Here is a 19362-nt window from a genome sequence, read left to right on the forward strand (position 1 = left end):
CTCACAGAGTTAAGCTTTACTTTTGAATCAGCAGTTTGCAAGTTCTCTTTTTTGTAGAATCTGTGAAGGGACATTTTGAGTACAGTGAGACTTACAATGAGAAAAAAATTTCCAGCAATAAAAAAGAGAAAGAAGCTCTCTGTCAAACTGCTTTCCTATTTCTCTATTCAGCTCAGAGTTTAAACTTACTTTTTAATTAACCATGTTTGAAACATTTGGTTTGTAGAATCTGTGAAGGGAAAATTTGAAGCCCACTGAGGCTTATTGTGCAAAACCCAATATTCAGTCACAAAAACTAGAAAGAAGTATCTGAAATTGTTTTGTGATTTGTGGATTCAGCTCACATAATTAAACCTTTCTTTTGTTTCAGCAGGTTGGAACACTATTTTTGTAGAATCTGCAATGGGACATTTCTCAGCCCACTGAAACTTATAGTAAAACCTCAAATGTCCAGCCATAATAATGGGAAAGATACTATGTGTGAATCCGCTTTGTGAGATGTGGGTTCAGCTGACAAAGTTAAACTTATCTTTTGATTCAGCAGGTTAGAAACTCCTTTTTTTGTAGAATCTGTGAAGGGATATTTCACACCTCTCTGAGGCCTATAGTAAAAAATCTAATATCCCACCATAAAACCTAGAAAGAAGCTATCTGTGATAATGCTTTGTGACGTGTGTATTCTGCTCACAGAATTAAACCTTACTTTTCGTTCAGCAGTTTTTGAAACACTTGTTTTGTACAGTCTCCAAAGGGACATTTCGGAGGGCCTTGACACTTACAGTGAAAAACTGAATATCATGCTATAAAAACTAGAAAAAATAACTATCTGTGAAACTGCTTTGTAATGTGTGGTTTCAGCTCAGAGAGTTAAACCTTTCTTTTGAATCAGCAGTTTGTAAACACTCTTTTCATAGAATCTGCCAAGACATATTTCAAGGTGCAGTAAGGCCTCTAGTGAAAAACTGAATATCCCACAATACAAACTAGAAAGAAGCTATCTGTGAAACTGCTTTGCAATCTGTGAGTTCATCTCCAAGAGTGAAATCCTGCTTTTGATTCAGCAGCTTGGTAACATTCTTTTTCCAGAGCCTATGAGAGCCATTTTGCAGCCCACTAAGGCCTATATTAAAAAACCGAATATACTGCAATGAAAACTAGAAAGTTATTATCTGTTAAACCACTTTGGAAGGGGTGGCTTCAAAAAATTAAACTTTTCTTTTGATTCAGCAGGTGGAAAAGACTCTTTTTCTAGAATCTTCTAAGGAACATTTCAGAGCCCACTGATGCCTATATTGAGATATCCCACGATAAAAACTAGAAAGAAGCTCTCTGCTTTCTGATGTGTCAATTCATTTTAAAGAGCTAAAACTTTCCTTTGATTCAGCATATTGGAAACCCTCTTTTTGAAGAATCTACAAAGGGACATTTCGTATCCCATTGAGGCCTATAGAGAAAAATGGAATATCCTTCGAAAAAAACTAGAAAGAATCCAACTGTAAAACCACTTTGCGATGTGCAGATTCATTTCACTGAGATAAACATTTATTTTGCTTCAGCAGGTTGAAACCACTCTATGTATGGAATTTATGAACGGACATTTCAGAGCTTTATGAGGCCTATAGTGAAACACCGAATATCCTGTGGTACAAACTACAAAGAAGTCATTTGTGAAACTGCCTTGTGTGTGTGTATTTGGCTCATGGAGTTGAACTTTCTTCTGATTCAGCTGGGTGGAAAAAATCTTTTCGCAGAATCTTTGAAAGAAAATATTGGAGCCCATAAGGCCTACAGTGAAAAACCGAATATCCCACAATAAAAACTAGAAAGAAGCTATCTGTGAAACCACTTTGTGGTGTGTAGATTCAGCTCACAGAGTTAAAGCTTTCTTTTGATTCGTCTGGTTGGAAACCCTCATTGTGTAGAATCTGCAAAGGGGCATTTCAATTCCCAGTGAGGCCTATAGTGAAAAAACAAATATTCTGTGACAAAAACATGAAACAAACTTTCTGTTGAATTGTTTTATGTTGTATGCTATTATTGCACAGAGTTAAAACTTACTTTTGATTCAACATGTTGGAAACACTCTCTTTCTAGAATCTACAATGGGACATTTTGGAGCCCATTGAGGCATATAGTGAAAAACTAAATGATAAAAACTGGAAACAAGGTGTCTCTAAAACTGCTTTGCTATGTGTGGATTCACGTTATGGAGTTAAAAATTTATTTTGATTCTGCAAGCACTCCTCTTGTGGAATGTACAAAGGACATTTCTGGGCCCATCAAGGAATATAGTGAAAAACAGAATATCACGTGATAAAAACTAGAAACAACTTATCTGGGAAACCACTTGGCATTGTGTGAGTTCATCTAACAGAGTTAAGCCTTTCTTTGATTCAGCAGGTTGGAAACCCTCCTTTTTTTACAATCTATTAAGGGACAGCTAGGCATGCTCTCACCTGTAACTACAGCACTTTGGGATGCTGAGGAAACTGGATCATGAGGTCAGGATCTTGAGACCATCCTGGCTAACATGGGGAAACCTCATCTCTACTAAAAATTAAAAAAAAAAAAGCCAGGCATGGTGGTGGGCATTTGTAGTCCCAGCTACTCGGGAGGCTGAAGCAGGAGAATGGTGTGAACCTGGGAGCTGGAGTGTGCAGTGAGCCGAGATCATGCGACTGCACTCCAACCTGGGTGACAGAGTGAGACTCCATCTCAAAAAAAAAAAAAAAAAAAAAAGCATCTACTAAGAGACATTTTGGAGCCCATTGAAGCCTACAGTGAAAAATTGAATATCCCACAATAAAGACTAGCAAGCAGATATCTGTGAAACCGCTTTATGATGTGTGACATGTATGATTCATGTCACACAGTTAAGCCTTTCTTTTGATTCAGCCAGTTCAAAACACTCTTTTTGTAGAATCTGCAAAGGGACATCTCAGAGCCAATTAAGACCTACAGTGAAAAACTGAATATCCTGCTATGAAAACTAGATCAAGCTATCTGTGAAATACCTATATCATATTTGGATTGATATCACAGAGTTAAACTTCTCTCTTGATTCCACAGGTTGGAAAAACCCTTTAAGTAGAATCTCTGAAGGGACATATTGAAACCCACTGAGACCTATTATGAAAAACTGAATATCTCACAATAAAAACTAGAAGCAAGGGCAGGTACTGTGGCTAAAACCTGTAATCCCAGCACTTTATGAGGGTAACTCACCTGAGGTCTGGAATTTGAGACCAGCCTGACCAACATGAAGAAAGCTTGTCTCTGCTAAAGATACAAATTGCTCTGGGCATTGTGGTGCATATTTCTAATCCCAGCTATTCGGGAGGCTGAGGCAGGAGAATTGCTTAAACCTCCTGTAGGTGAAGGTTTCAGTGAGCAGAGATCGCACCATTACACTTTAACCTAGTCAATAAGAGCAAAACTACGTCTCAAAAAAGAATCTAGAAACAAGCTATCTGTGAAACCTTTGTGTGATGTGTGCATTCATCTCACAGAGATGGACCTTTCTTTTGATTCAGCAGGTTGGAAACCTCTTTTAGTAGAGCCTAAGAAAGGACATTTTAGAGCCCATGAAGTCTATTGAAAAAAAATGAATATCCCTCAATAAAAATGAGAAACAATCTACCTGTGAAGCCTCATTGTGATATGTGGATTCATTTAACAGAGATAAACCTTTCTTTAGATTTAGCACACTGGAAACACCCTTTTTGTAGAATATATAATGGGACATTTCAGAGCCCATTAAGGCCTATTGTGAAAAAACTGAATATCTGGAGATAAAAAACAGATACAAGCTATCTGTGAAGCATCTTTGGGATGTATGGATTTATTTCACAGAGTTGAACTTTTCTTTTGATTCAGCAGGTTGGAAACACATCTTTTTTAGAATCTATGAAGGGGACATTTTGGTAACCATTGAGGCTTATAATGAAAAATCGAATATTCCATGACAGTAACTAGAAACAAGGTATCTGCGAAATTGTTTTATGAAGTGTCCATTCATCTCACAGAGGTAAGCCTTCCTTTTGATTCAGCAGGTTGGAAACACTATTTCTTTGTAGAATCCATGAAGGGACATTTTGGAGCCCATTAGAGCCTATAGGGAAAAACTGAGTATCCCGCAATAAAAACAAGAAACAAGCTGTCTGTGAAAGCACTTAACAATGTGTGGATTCATCTCACAGAGGTAAACCTTTCCTTTGATTCAGTACGTTTGAAAAATTCTTCTGGTAGTATCTACAATGGGACATTCCAGAGCCCATCAAGGCCTATAGGGAAAAACAGAATTTCCCATGATAAAAAATATAAACAAAGTATCTGGGAAACGGCTTTGTGATGCATGGATTCATATCACAGAGTTAAACTTTTCTGTTGATTCAGCAGGTTGGAAACACTCTTATTGTAGAATCTATGAGGGAACATTTCGGAGCCCATTGCCGCCTGTAGTGAAAAACCGAATATCCCACGATATTAGTCTGATGGGCTTCCCTTTGTGGGTGACCCGACTTTTCTCTCTGGTTGTCTTTAACATTTTTTTCTTCATTTTACCTTTGGTGACTCTGATAATTATGTATATTTTTCGGGATTCTTCTTCTCAAGGAGTATCTCTCTGTTGTTCTCTGTATTTCCTGAATTTGAATATTGGCCTGTCTTGCTAGGTTGGGGAAGTTCTCCTGGATAATATCCTGAGCAGTGTTTTCCAGCTTGGTCCCATTGTCCTTGTCACTTTTAGATTACCAATCAAGTGTAGATTTGGTGTTTTCACATAGTCCTATATTTCCTGGAGGCTTTGTTCTTTCCTTTTTAGTCTTCTTTCTATAATCTTGCCTTCTCGCTTTATTTCATTAAGTTGATTTTTAATCTCTGATTTTTCTCTGCTTAATTTATTCAGCTATTGATTCTTGTGTATGCTTCACAAAATTATTGTGCTTTGTTTTTCAGCTCCATCGGGTCATTTATGTTCTTCTTTAAATGGGTTATTCTATTTATCCATTTCTCTAACCTTTTTCAAGTTTCTTAGATTCCTTAGATTGGGTTAGAACAAACTTTTTTAGCTCAGAGGAATTTCTCATTCTGCACCTTCTGAAGCCTATTTCTGTCAATTCATCAAACTCATCCTCCATCCAGTTTTGTTGCCTTCCTGGCGAGGTGTGATTTTTTTTTTTTTTTCCCTGAAATGTAGTCTCACTGTATCACACAGGCTGAAGTGCAGTGGTGTGATCTCGGCTCACTGCAACCTCTGCTGCCTGGGTTCAAGCAATGTTCCTATCTCAGCTTCCCAAGTAGCTGGGATTACAGATGTACACCACCATGCCCAGGTAATTTATTGTATTTTTAGTAGAAACAGGGTTTCACCATGCTGTCCAGGCTGGTCTTGAAGGACCTGACCTCATGTTCCACCCACATCAGGCTCCCAAAGTGCTGGGATCACAGGCATGGACCACAATGTCTGGCCTATATTTTTTATATGTGAATAAAGAACAATCAGTCCCAGTCGTCAGTGTGGCAAATTGCTAGGCAACAATGGAGGGAGGAACTTGGAAGTGGGGGCATGCCAGGGGCAATGAAGAAGACATAGTTGCCTCAGGCTGTGTGCAGGCAGCCTGAGCGGCCCTCCTCCTTGAGGCCTCAGTTTTCAGAGTAAGTGTCTGCTAGGTGATATCCAATAGCAGTAATCTCCTAGGTGGTCCCCACAACAAATCAGCCAGTGTCCCTGGAAGACATAGCTTAAGTCCCTAACCATCAGATCATCTGGAATTTCCAATCAGAAATGAGAGACCAACTGGAAATTCTCAGTCAAGGTCCAAACTAAAAGAATCACTGGCACACCCACCAAGGCTAAGACAATTTTTAAAAGAATCATTTGGGTGCAACCGTGTATTTCTGTAAAACAAAATTACCTATTGTAAATGTTACTGTTTTTACTCATTATGTGTACGGTCCTATGATAGACAGCCCAAGGGGATTGTCACCTCAGAGTCCAAAACACCAGATGCTGATATCTTCAATTTCTATTTAGATTGAATTTAAACAAGCCAGCCAAACACTCTGCGGTGAAACTCTCATGAAGACAAGTGATTGAAAAAGGGAAAAAACAAAACAAAACAAACAAACAAACAAAACAGTGTGTTCAGGGGAACTGGTTCATGCCTGTCATCCCTGCACTTTGGGATCCTGAGGGCACATGGATCCCTTGATCCCAGGCAATCCAGAACAGCCTTAGCAATACGATGAAACCTCCTCTGTAGAAAAATACAAAAATAGCTGGTTTCATAACCTTGACTCAAAATTAATAAATAAATAGATTAAAATTTAAAATAAAAACTTAAATGCTGTATTATCTTATTTTTGCTTCCTACCCTGAGAAGAACATAATACAGCTGGTCTCCGTCCGACTGTCTGTTTGTGACAGAGTCTCACTCTGTCACCCAGGCTGCAGTGCAGTGACACCATTATGGCTGACTGCAGCACCAACCTCCCCAGGCTTAAGTGAGTCTTCCACTTTGGCCTCCTGAGTAGCTGGGACCACACAGGAATGCACTTCGGGTTTTGGCTGTGTTTTCCAAGACTTGACTCGATCTCCTGCGCTAAAGCATGCCTACCTCCTCAGCCTCCCAAAGTGCTAAGGTTGCAGGTGTTACCCACTGCATCCGGCCTGACTTAATACATCTGGTCTCATTACAACTTGACCACATGCCCACAAAGAACTCAAATCAAGGGAGAATCAACAAGAGACTTTCAGCATTCTTTCCCTAAAGCGGGGAGGTGGATGGTGGCCGAATGTCCTGCACTTCTGTGGTTTTAGGTGGCCACGTTTAGAGGATAGATTTCAAATGTTTCTGTTAGAGGCACAAGCCACAGTCATTTGGAGCAATGTTTCTGACAGTGTCTTAAGGGCCAGGAAGGGCCAGGATCTGCCAAGGCCTGTGTTCCAGGGTGGGGTCGATGGAATCCAGGGTAGAAGGAGCCATCGGTCCTCACTGAGTTCTAGCCCTAGGCTCCACTGTGCAGACCAAGTCAGAAGGAACAATCCCTCGTCCTACATGCCACATGCATCTACTGAACTTGAAAGTGGATCCATTTTCCAAACATGAGGTGACTCTTTGTTGGAAATGGATGACAAGGGGCCGGCCTTTCCGGAGTCGGTATGATAAAGAACTCATTCTGTGGCATAGAATGAGGTGTGGCTTGAATCTTGAATCTCCATTTAAAACCAATGAAGGTGGCCATGGACTGTGGCTCATGCCTGTCATCCCAGCACTTTGGGAGGCTAAGGCAGGCAGATCACGAGGTCAGGATTGTGAGACCCGCCTAGCCAACATGGTGAAACCCCATCTCTACTAAAATTACAAAAATTAGTTGGGTGTGGTGGTGCATGCCTGTAATCCTAGCTACTCAGGAGGCTGAGGCAGGAGAATCACTTGAACCTGAAAGGCGGAGCCACTGTAACTCCAGCCTGGGGGACAGAGTGAGACTCCATCTCAGAAACAAACAAACAAACAAAGCCAATGAATGTGTTTAACTCAAAGCGTCATGCCCAGGTCTATTGACAGGATATATTGAGCACGCAGGGAAATGTTGTGGGGTGGGGTTGAAAATATTTTATGGCCTCAAGGAAGGGTTTGAGAGGTAGTCACACAAACCTGACAGCCTAAGGAATCCCCTGCACTTAAGAAGCGATATGCACTTCTAGCCTGTAGCCACGCATGCGGGATAATTAGGCTCTCTGCAGAACTCCTCCTGAAATGGGCTCTCGCTCCATTCAATAAAAATGGGAGAATCTGTTTCCTAGCATGCAGCCGCAGATGAACGATGATCCAGACACTCACATAAGGAGCGTGTCAGGCTCTACTCATACCGTGTGGTTTTGTAACCTCCAGCGTGTATGCTGGTGGGGGGTACTGTGGACAGAGGAGGGGAGAGAATGGCGGTGTCCGGCATGTGCTGGAGACATGGGACGTGGTTGGGTTGGTCAAAGTCTAGGGAACTCATCACCTGCCAGGACGTCTCACCTCCTGCTGTCCTCTCTACCCTACTCTCCACATCTTCACAGTGCAGTGGAGATGATGTAAGTGGAGTTTGCCATCACGTTGGACTTAAGCAGAGGAAGGCCGCCCTCCCAGGGGTTTCCCTGGAGTGGGTGCCTTGGGCAAGCTCACAAGGATGCCGATGGTGACAGTGAGAGGGATGTATGGTGGAGGCAGCAGGCCAATGTAGAGGTATGTATTTGACCTATTTGGGGGTGGTCAGCTTTGTGGAGTCCCATGCATCCTTCCAGAGAATCATTCAGCACTAGCAAGCATGGTCTCCAGGATCACAGTTCCCAGCAGAGGCACTTTTGTTCACACAGAATCCTGGGAAGGAAAGTTCTCAGCAGGCTTACACCTCCTATCCGAGAAGCTGAAACCACTTCTGGGAGGTTTTCCAAAGAGCCAGTGGTTCCACAAGGGGCCGTGGGACTTCTGGAAATTGAGAGAAGTATTTGGAGATATATATTTTAGAAAGAATGGACAGAGCTTGGTCACGAGTTGTTTAGGACACAGGGGATACAGATTGAGAAAACCCTCCTAGCATCCTAGGTGAACAGAGGTACGATTTATTGAGACAGTAAGTCTGGGTCACAGCCGAGGCAAGGGAAAAGCAAACCCAGATTTTAAGGTTGCCTTTTTATTAGTGTGTAATATCCATGAGATATCCAAGCCCAGAAATGAACTCTCCAGTTCTGTAGTTTTCTGTATGGAAATCAGATCTGGGAGTTCTACAGTTAATAATTCAGCCTTGGTAATAGATTAGATCTACCCGAGCCTATAGTAGAAAAAAGACAGGGAGGGAAGAATAGGACAGAGAAAGAAAGTTACAGAGAGAGAGAGAAAGTGAGAGAGGCAGACAGAGACAGACAGAGAGAGACAGAGACACAAAGAAAGGAAAGAGAAAAAGGAAAGACATAGAGAAAGAAAGAGAGAGACAGATGGACAGACAGGGAAAGAGACTGACAGAGAGAGACACAGACAGAAAGAGAGACAGAGAGAGAGACATGGATAAAGAAAGAATGACAGAGGACAGAGAGACAGACTGAGAGAAACAGAGACAGGAAGAGAGAGACAGAAACAGAGAGAGACGGAGAGATAGATGGAGAGAAAGATAGACAAGGAAAGAGACAGAGTGAGAGAGACAGAGAGAGAGACAGAGACAGAGAGGGAGAGAGAGAGGAAGAGGAATGGGGTACTCAAGAAATAATTACATGTATTGTATAATGCTCTGATGCCATAAACAGTGGCCAGAATATGATTGAAAACAAGAACATCAAAAAGAACAGCGGCAGCAGCAACACTCACTTGCAGATTTTTAGAAAGTAAGATGTTATGAACTATAGTTTACATCAACTGGCTCTCACTATACGTTGAGAGATTCACAAAAGTGCTAGTTAACAACAGAAGAAAACAGCGGCTAATATGTCCTTGGGAAAATATACATCTTCCTAAAAATTGGTGAATTCTACTTCAGCGGAAAATAAATAAATACGAAAAAGAAAAAAAACACAAACAAAACAAAACAAGCAAGCAAACAAGGGCCAAAGCATTGTCTCTGGAAATCTTAAACCAGCAAAATGCTTTGTAGAAAGCGGTTCTATTTTGGGCACATACTAATAAGGCCCAGGGTAGAGCGGTGACGCCCTTCCCATTTTGAAAATATGCTGGCCTGAGGGAGGAGAAAATTAAAAAAAAAAAAAAAAATCTTGATAAAAGGTGATTAAGACCCAGCCAGGATGGAACTTTCCTAGGGAGAGAGGCCTGAGGAACAATGGGGGAAAAAACTCATAACTGCAGTCGGTCCCGCCTGCCTGTCCGCTTGTCCACACGGGTCAAGCTCTATCCCATCGGCCCAAGCTGCCTCTCGGGAAGTGGGACAGTGCCGCCCCCATCTTTAAAAACTGTGGCCAATGAGTGAGGCCTGACGACCACCAATGCAAATGTCAGCCTGGTGGGAATGAGATCACCAGCGAGCGGTGGGGGAAGGGGAGAGAAGAGGGAGGCACACCCTGGTGACTCTCGAACGTTTCCAAGCACAGTGGTAGGAGATGAGGGGGTTGGGGAAAACCCACCTAACTAACACTAAATTAAGGTAAAAGGGCTTGGGGGTCCGGGCGGCGACTTAAAAATTAAAGTGACCGTACATAAAGCCAAAATGGAAGAGCCTATGAGCATTAAAGAAACCAACAGGTGAAGCAAAATAATATGCTGAGAAAAGAACAACAGGGACCCCGCCAGGTCGGAGGTTCCCTAGGAAGAAGGGAGAGAGTGACGGGCCTCCAGAAGAGAGGGAGAGAAGCCAGTGGCCCCAGGCTCTGTGAAGTCGGCCAGACGTCCCTCCGTGCCACCTCGACTTTCAATAACAGTGGCCGCTAGGTGATGCCCGAAGACAACCGATGCTTGCAAGTGTCAGTCGGCACGGAAAAGAAACGAATAATGAGTCTTTCTGTGTCAGGGTGGAGGTTGGGGATGGAGTGCGGAAGAGGCACACCCCAGTCACTGGCCTCTTCCAGATCCCTCTCACATCAGGTCGTTTCCGGGCCCAGGGAGAACTCCCAGGCAATTCCCACGACTAGCGACCAGAGCCCCACAGAGGACACAGCCTACGTTTCTGCCCATGGGATCTTCTGGAACTTCCATTCCCCCAGAGAGAAAAGAGGACCACGGGGGCACGGGTGTGCGGATGGAGGCTAGGGCTGGAGGTGGGACCTATCTAAGGCAGAAGTCCAGTCCATAGCGTTTCAGGGTATACTCCAGACCCACGACCTCAGAGTGGCAAATACCTGTCACAATGGAACAAAGTCCGTGAAATCCACGCTACCAGACACAGCATGGATTTCCCAGAGAGGACAGCTTACACCAAATTCCCTCCTGTCCTCAGGCCAGTTTTCACTCCTGAAGTACCCATTTCTCAGTCGTGTTCCGCAAAGTCCTCTCTGTCGTGAATCATTCAAAAATTTAGTTCAGTGAATCCCAGAGCATCCACATACGACCTCTAAGATCGGAGTCCGCACACTACACATCACTCCCCACAGTGTCTCTCCACGAGAACATCACCGCCGTATTAGCCTGGCGGCGATACAGTGCCATTTACTAGAAATCACTCAAGAGTTTCGCTCTTGTTGCCCAGGCTACAGTGTAGTGGCACAACCTGGGCTCACTGCAACCTCTGCCTCCCAGGTTCAACCGATTTTCCTGCCTCAGCCTCCTGAGTTCCTGGGATTATAGGCATATGCCACCACGCGCCGTTAATTTTTTATTTTTAGTACAAGCACGTTTTCTCCATGTGGGTCTGGCTGGTTTCGAACTCCGACCTCAGGTGATCCGCCCACCTCGGCCTCCCGACGTGCTAGGATTACAGGCATCAGCCACCGTGCCCCACCATGTGTATAGAGTTTTATGCCACAATAATGAGCTTTCTTTCTCATTGCCTTCACAGGTGGTTTCACTAGGTCAGATTTTGTTTCACCGTTAATTTTTAAATTGAGGAGTTTGTCAGGGAAATACGAGATGTAGACTCCACAAGAGACAGGGGGAAAAGCCTGAACATGCCCCTTCCATCCAAGTGCAGACCTGGCCTCTACCTCCCAAAATCATACACCGAGTGGGGAAGCCCAGCAATGCCTGTCTGTCTAGATTTCTCTCATCCTCTCTAAACATGGCACTCCTTCCTTTCGTGGAAGGTGCAGGGCCCTCCCCAGAACGGGAGTCTCAGGACCTACAGTCGAACAAAACACACCCTGTGGAATTCAAGCATATACACGGACAATTTCCCCATCCTCTTGGGGCCTTCGTTCTGTAGACTCCCATGAAGACAGGTCCCAGAAACATATCTGCCTATTCTTTTATTCTTCTGCCTCTGACGAGTTGAGGTTTCAGATGAAACTTCAGAGGGTGGAAGGCAAAGCACTCTCCCTGCTCCCATGTTTTTGTGAGCGGTGAAAAATGACAGTCTCCCAAGGCAAAAGTCTCCAGATACCCCTATCCTTTTCTCCCCTCCCAGTGGGATTCCGTGCATCTGACTTGGGATGACACACGGTCTGCTAGCCACCGACAACAGCTGTGGTGACAGCACCGTCTAAAAGCCAAGAAGACAAAAAACAAAACTAACTTACTTAACTGAGTAATAACGGGGAGAGGGGACTAAGGGAGTCAACCTATAGCAGAAATGACACACCATTCAGAACATAAGGGCTGCAGTGAAAGGCGGCAGAACATACACTTTTAAAGGCTGAAATCTCGGTGGCTCACGCCTGTCATGCCAGCACTCTGGGAGGGCCAGGAGACTTGAAGTTAGGAGTTCGAGACCAGCTTAGCCACCATGGCAAAACCCCGTCTCTACTAAAAATACAAAAATTAGCCTGTCGTGGCTGTGTGCATCTGTAATCCCAGCTACTGAAGGCTGAAGCATGGGAATTGCTGGAACCCAGGAGGCAGAGGTTGCAGTGAGCCAAGATAGTGCCAATGCACCCCAGACTGGGCAGCAGAGCAAGAGACTCAGTCTCAGAAAAAAAGACTGAAATAATCCCCTGCCTTCCTTCCCTTTTCCCCTTTAGAACCTACAGTTGTTTGCAGTTTCTGATCCCTTAAGTGGCAGAATATATTCCATGGGGCTAACTGTGGCTTTCTTGCATTGCCACTGAATGTCCCCTATAAGGCCGGTACCCCCTGCCTCAGGTCAAGGAGGTGGTGTTTCGTTTTGTTTCTCTCTCTCTCTTTCTCAAATTTTATTTCTTGTTGAAGCATACATGTGCAAGATTGTCATATAGGTAACTTCTGACTGGGGGGTTCAGAGTGCAGATTATTTCATCACCTGGGTACTCAGCGCAATACCGGACAGTTTTTGTGTTTTAATCTGAAACTATCTCTCCTACCATTCCTCCTCCCTCAAGTAAGGTCCCGTGTCTCTGGTCGCCCTCTTTCTGCCCACATGTTCTCATTATGTAGTTCCCACTTACAGATGAGAACACACCGTGTTTAGTTTATTGTTGGTTTCATCTACGGTGATGGTGATAAAAGAAGCATGAGAGTAAATCGACCCTTAGGACACTCCCCTATGTCCTCATCACACACATCCCTCCCCGCACACACTCTCACCTCTACACCCCCTACTCAAGCCCAAGAAAGGAAGAAAGACATAAAGTAAAGTAAGAGGTCAGCCTCCAAGGTGATGGAGGCCGGGGATCTCAAAGGGTGAGCAAGCGGTGGGGGACAGAGGATGTTGTGGCCAAGCTAGAAAAGGTGGGAGACTGACTTTCTAGCTCCATCCCACACCCCAGGCTTTGGGTGGGGTGGCTCCTGCAAAAGCTTCTGAATGGAGAGAAGCCTGAAGCCATAGAAGTCACCAGCTAGGAATTCAGGAAGGGAATAAAGCTTTGTGCATGTGAATGGGGCTTTGTAATGCGGTGCTGTGGCTTCCAAGGTGATGCTCCTCGCCTCACACAGAGCAAGACTCCATCAAAAAAAGAAGAAAGAGAAGAAAGAAAGAAAGAAAGAAAGAAAGAGAGGAAGAAATGAAGGAAGGAAGGAAGGAAGGAAGGAAGGAAGGAAGGAAGGAAGGAAGGAAGGAAGGAAAGAAAGAAAGAGAGAGAAAGAAAAGAAAAGAAAGAAAAAAAATCAGAACACATGTCGTGGTTGTGAGTGATTACCAGGAGGCCAGGCAAAGTGGCTCATGCCCATCATTCCAGCACTCTGAGACTCTGGGACAGGAGGATTGCAATGAAGTGATGAGACTCTGTCTGTAGAACAAATTTAAAAATAATCTGGGCACAGTGGCGCGTGCCTGTGGTCCCAGTTACTCTACTCTGGAGTCTGAGGAGGAAGGATCACTTGAAATAAGGTGTGTCCAGGCTGCAGTGCATGAGCTTTGATGGCACCACTGCACTCCAGCCAGGGTGACAGAATGAGACACTGTCTCTGAATCAATCAATAAATCACATGACTGAAAGGACCTCTCTATTTCTTACTTTCAATGGATATGTCTTTAGGACAGATGGGCATGGTGGCTCACCCCAGTAATCCCAGCACTTAGGGAGGCCAAGGCAGGAGGATTAAAATAAAGAAAGAAACAAATAAAAGAAAAAGGTGGGGGAAGGTGTATCTCCTTGACTGGTGACCAAAATTACACAAACCCAACAAGGAAGGAACGTGTGTAGGATTCGGTAAGTGCACCCTGTTTTCTGAAACTACTGTACAGTATTGTCATCTTAAAGATGAGTGGGGCTGGTGGTGGGGGTGGCTCATGCCTTTAATCCCAGAACTTTGGGAGGCTGAAGTGGGTGGATCATGAGGCTAGGAGTTCAAGACCAGCCTGTCTTGAACAGGTGGTGAAACCTTGAAAGATGGTGAAACCATGTCTTTATTTTACTTAAAATACAAAATTAGGAGGGTGTGGTGGTGGGAGCCTGTAATCCCTGCTATTGGGGAGGCTGAGGCAGGAGAATCACTTGAACCTGGGAGGTGGAGGTTGCAGTGTGCCAAGATCAGGACACTGCCCTCTTGCTCCGGGTGACAGAGCAAGAATCCATCTCAAAAAAAAAAAAAAATGAATTTAAAAAAAAGAAAACAGGATGAGTGGACAAGCCTGGCCAACATGGCTAAACCCCATTCATCTCTACTAAAAATGCAAATATCAGCCGGAAATGGTGGCATGCATCTGTGATCCCAGACACTCAGAGAAGCTGAGGCACAAGAATCACTTGAGCCTGGGATGTGGAGGTAGCAGCGAGCCTAATTCGAACCACAGCACTCTGGCCTGGATGACAGAGTGATACCCTGTCTCAAAAAAAAAAAAAAAAAAAAAAAAAAGATGAGGCCAGGCATGGTGGCTCACTCCTCTAATCCCAGCACTTTTGGAGGCCGAGGCATGTGGATCTTATAGTCAGGTGTTTGAGACTAGCCTGACCAATATGGTGAAACCTCGTCTTTACCAAAAATACAAAATTAGCTAGGCTTGGTGGCGCACTCCTGTAGTCCCACATGCTCAGGTGGTTGAAGCAGGAAAATCACTTGAACTTGTGAGGCAGAGGAGCTTGCACCAATGCACTCCAGCCTGGGTGACACAGGGAGACTCAATCTCAAAAAAAAAAAAAAAAAAAGATGGAAAATATAGATCTCGGAGTTGACAAATGGGCAGATCCAATATGAGATGCACATGGGATGGTGGCCAAGCTTGAAGTGCAGTTTTCTTTTTTTTTATTTTTTATTTCTATTTCTATTTTATTTTATTTTATTTTTAGCCCTGTCACCAGGCTGGAGTGCTGTGGTATGATGTCAGCTCACTGCAATCTTCGTATCCCTGGTTCAAGTGATTTTCCTACCTCAGCCCCCCGAGTAGCTGAATTTACAGGCACGCGCCACCACACCCAGCTAATTTTGTATTTTTAGTAGAGACAGAATTTCACTATGTTGTTCTGGATGATCCTGATGTCCTGACGTCGTGATCTGCCCGCATTTGTTTCTTTCTTTCTTTCTCTCTTTCTCTCTTCTTTCTTTCTTTCTTTCTCTTTCCTTCTTTCCTTCTTTCTTTTCTCTCTTTCTCACAGGATTGCCCAGGTTAGAGTGGGTCATGACTGACTGCTGCCTCAATTTTTCAGGCTTCAAGTGATCTTCTCCTTATCTCAGACTCCTGAGTAGCTGGGAGTACTGGCATGCACCACCACACCTAGCTAATCTTTTTATCATGCTTATTATTATTGTTATTTTGAGACAGGATCTTGCTCTATCACCTAGGCTGGAGTGCTGTGGCACATTCTCGGCTTACTGCAACCTCTGCCTCTCTGGTTGAAGCGACTCACTGACCCCAGCCTCCTGAATTTTTGCCATGTTTGCCAAGGCTTGTCTCGAACTCTTGGCCTTAAGTCGATCCACCTGCCTTGGCCTCCTAATGTGCTGGGATTACAGGCATGAGCCACTGCACCTAACTGAATTTTATTCACTCTACCTCCTATATATTCAAAGAAATTGCTTGGAAGCCGATGCTAGCAGAATCCCCAATGTGCATATATTTCAGGGCTGGGGAGACTTGAAACACAGTGGTTTTTTTATGATCACAGAAATGAGAAGAAAAAGAATGTTCTAATCCAGCTCTTTTCCCTCAAACCTGGGGCCCTGGCTGTATTTAGATGTTTTCATGGGGTAAGGGGCTTGTGTTTGCATAACTGTGTACAGATGAAGAGTTGACACGGGATAGGAAGGTGAGTAATCAGCAGCTGTGCAGAGACTTTGCATACATTTATAGAAGAAAAGGGCTCAGGGGATGATGGAACCTTGAAGAACTAACACACTCCTCTTGTGACAGAACCTGATAGAATTTAGAACTTTGAAAACTAGACATCCACACTCTAGAGACAGCCCTGTACCTAGCTCATTTCATGGGATATGCTTAAGAGAACACTATGTTCTTATTTCGTGGTGATATTCCTAAGCTGTTACCTTAGAAAGGTCCAAAGTTGAGAGCCTTTTCAAATAATACAGATGTTGGCTGAGCCCACATCCTTGATACCTGTGCCCATTTGGCAAGAGGCACCCACAGGAACTGCAGTGTAGTCCAGGGCAGGTCTGTCCATGCCAGGCCTCTCTTGTCATCTAATCTGGGAAACCCCATCTGGCCCACCATAACCATGTGTTTCAGGGGGAACAGGAAAGGAGGTGGCTTTTCCTGACAGGTGCAGGTTGTCAGGCTTTGGAACTCTGGTGAGTCCGTCATGTTCAAACCCAGGTCATGGCTGGTTGAATAAATAGTTGAGTGTTGGAGAGCAAGTGTGTCTACTCAGATGTGAATCTCAAGGTCTTCAGCTGTCCTCTGGTTTCTTCATGCACTGGGGATCTATGAAGATGCTCCTATGTGTCTGATCTGGGGAGCATAATTTTTTTTTTTTTTTTTGAGACAGAATCTCACTCTGTCACCCAGGCTGGAGTGCAGTGGCTCAATCTCTGCTCACTGCAAACTCTCTTCCTGGGTTCACGTTGTTCCCCTGCCTCAGCCTCCCGAGTAGCTGGGACTACAGTCTCCTGCCACCAAATTCAGCTAATTTTTTTTTTTCAGTAGAGACGGGGTTTCACCATGTTAGCCAGGATGGTCTCGATCTCCTGACCTCATGATCCACCTGCCTCAGCCTCCCAAGCTGCTGGAATTACAGGCATAAGGCACCGCACCCAGGCGGGAGCAGAATTTCTAATGGGGATGTCACCTTGTGGTAAAAACAAGGGAGACCATTAACATTTTTTTTTTTTTTTGGCTTGGCTTGGCTGCTGGGCATTCTCTTTACAGAGCTGTATCAAAATCAATGAGCAGCTGTTTGATGAGTTCAAGTCCCCATCTCCTTGGACAAGGGGCAGGTTCACCATACCACCAAGCAGGGCCCAGTGAGCTATGGTGAGAGCAGGCACATGGCAGTCTCTACAGACTGGGGCCTGACAATGCCAGGATGGGTCCAAAACCCAGACCCAAATATGGACTGTCTCTGGGCTCTGTCTTAGAGCTTTTTTCTCAGAGTGACCCAAAGTTCTGCAGCCAAAAATCTGGCTTTCATTAGTCCCAATGGCAACTTGGTTAGGTGTAAAGTCCCTGTTCACGTACTTGTAGAAATACCAGAGGAGGCCTTTGTGTTGTTTTTACTTTACACTGGACTGTATTTATTCATGTTGCTATAGTTTGTATTGTATTAACTATTTAGCCCAGGTATCTTCTGTAGCAGGCAGCTTCACTGTATTGCCAGACTTTCTCCAATACTTAAAAGCCACCACTATTACTAAGAAGGTTTTCACACAAAAATAGGGAAGAGGTTACGTGAAAAAGAGGTTACTTTGTTCCCTTCATTTGCCTGCAATGTGGCACCTCAGAGAACTCATCCCTGTAGCCCATCAGGGTAGAAGCTGTGCCTTCACATGTCTTCGTAATGTTCTATACAAGAAGGTAATTTCGCAGAGTGGCTTAGCCTTTCAATGCTGGTGGAGCCTGCCATGATAACATTCTATTTTCATTTTAGCTGTAATGAAGAAAATTTATCTGTGTGTCATGATTGGCTGGAACAGTTTGCTTGGGCTTCCATAATCTAGTACCGTGTACTGAAGATCTCAATGGAAACTGAGTTTCTCATAATTCTGGAGGCTAGAAATTGAACAACAAGCTATTGGCTGAAGTGGTTTCTCTAATGCATATTTCTACTTGAGATTAATCGACCACCTTCTATTTCTGTTTTCAGAGTGTCTTCTCTTGAGCCTCTGCGTCTTTACTCTTTTTGAAAGGACTCCAGTCATGTTAGGTTAGGGTTCACTTTACTGAACTTACTTAATCATAGTCACCTCTTTAAAAGCGATATGTCCAAACACACACTCACTCACAATTTGAGGCTAATTATATTATATATGCCTTAGAATGTCAACATATAAATTTTAGAATAGCAACATATAAATTTGGGAGAAGGGACACAATTTGGAACATGATATGTATTAATGGTAGATTGCCAGGAAAGTGATTACTGGGTAAAATGATATACATATGTAAAATTTCCAAAGCTACAGGCAGATGACTTTCCACAAGGTCTGTGGCAAGTACATTGTCATCAACAGTCCCTGAATAAAGCTGCTTCTCTGAACCCAGCCTCCCCTGGATATTAACATTCTTTTAATTTTCTGACAATCTCATGTCTGTGGGCACAATAAAAACATATTTTTCCTTTTATTTCCATTTTTCCAACTGATGTGTTTAAGTCACTTGGTAGTTGTTATTTTAAATATAGATATGGGTTTTCTGTTCCTCAATTTATCTCCTCAGATCTTTGACTCTGTCATTAATCCTGGAGTCTCCCAGCATTTATCTTCTTACCAGGTCTGGAAATGTTGTGTCTCTTTCTCAAGACTTTCCTTAATATTAAAGAAAGAAGGGCCGGTCACAGTGGCTCACACCTGTAACCCCAGCACTTTTGGAGGCCGAAGTGGGTGAATCATGAGGTCAGGAGATCGAGACCATCCTTGCTAACACGGTGAAACCCCATCTCTAATAAAAACACAAAAAAATTACCCGGATGTGGTGGCACGCACATGTAGTCCCAGCTACTCAGGAAGCTGAGGCAGAAAAATGGCGTGAACCCAGGAGGCTGAGCTTGCAGTGAGCCGAGATCCTGCCACTGCACTCCACTCCTGGGTGACTGTGTGAGACTCTGTCTCAAAAAAAAAAAAAAAAAAAAAAGGAAGAAAAAAATGTTGCTTTAATTCTTTCTAAGCTGTCTTGCCCTGTTCACTGTCTCCAAAATGCAGAGGAAATATGGCTTCTCCAGGTTCTTGCACTCAGTGTCAGAAGCTGCTGTGTTTCAGG

This window comes from Homo sapiens, chromosome Y (assembly GCF_000001405.40).
Source record: "Homo sapiens chromosome Y, GRCh38.p14 Primary Assembly".
In the NCBI taxonomy this organism is placed as follows: Eukaryota; Metazoa; Chordata; class Mammalia; order Primates; family Hominidae; genus Homo; species Homo sapiens.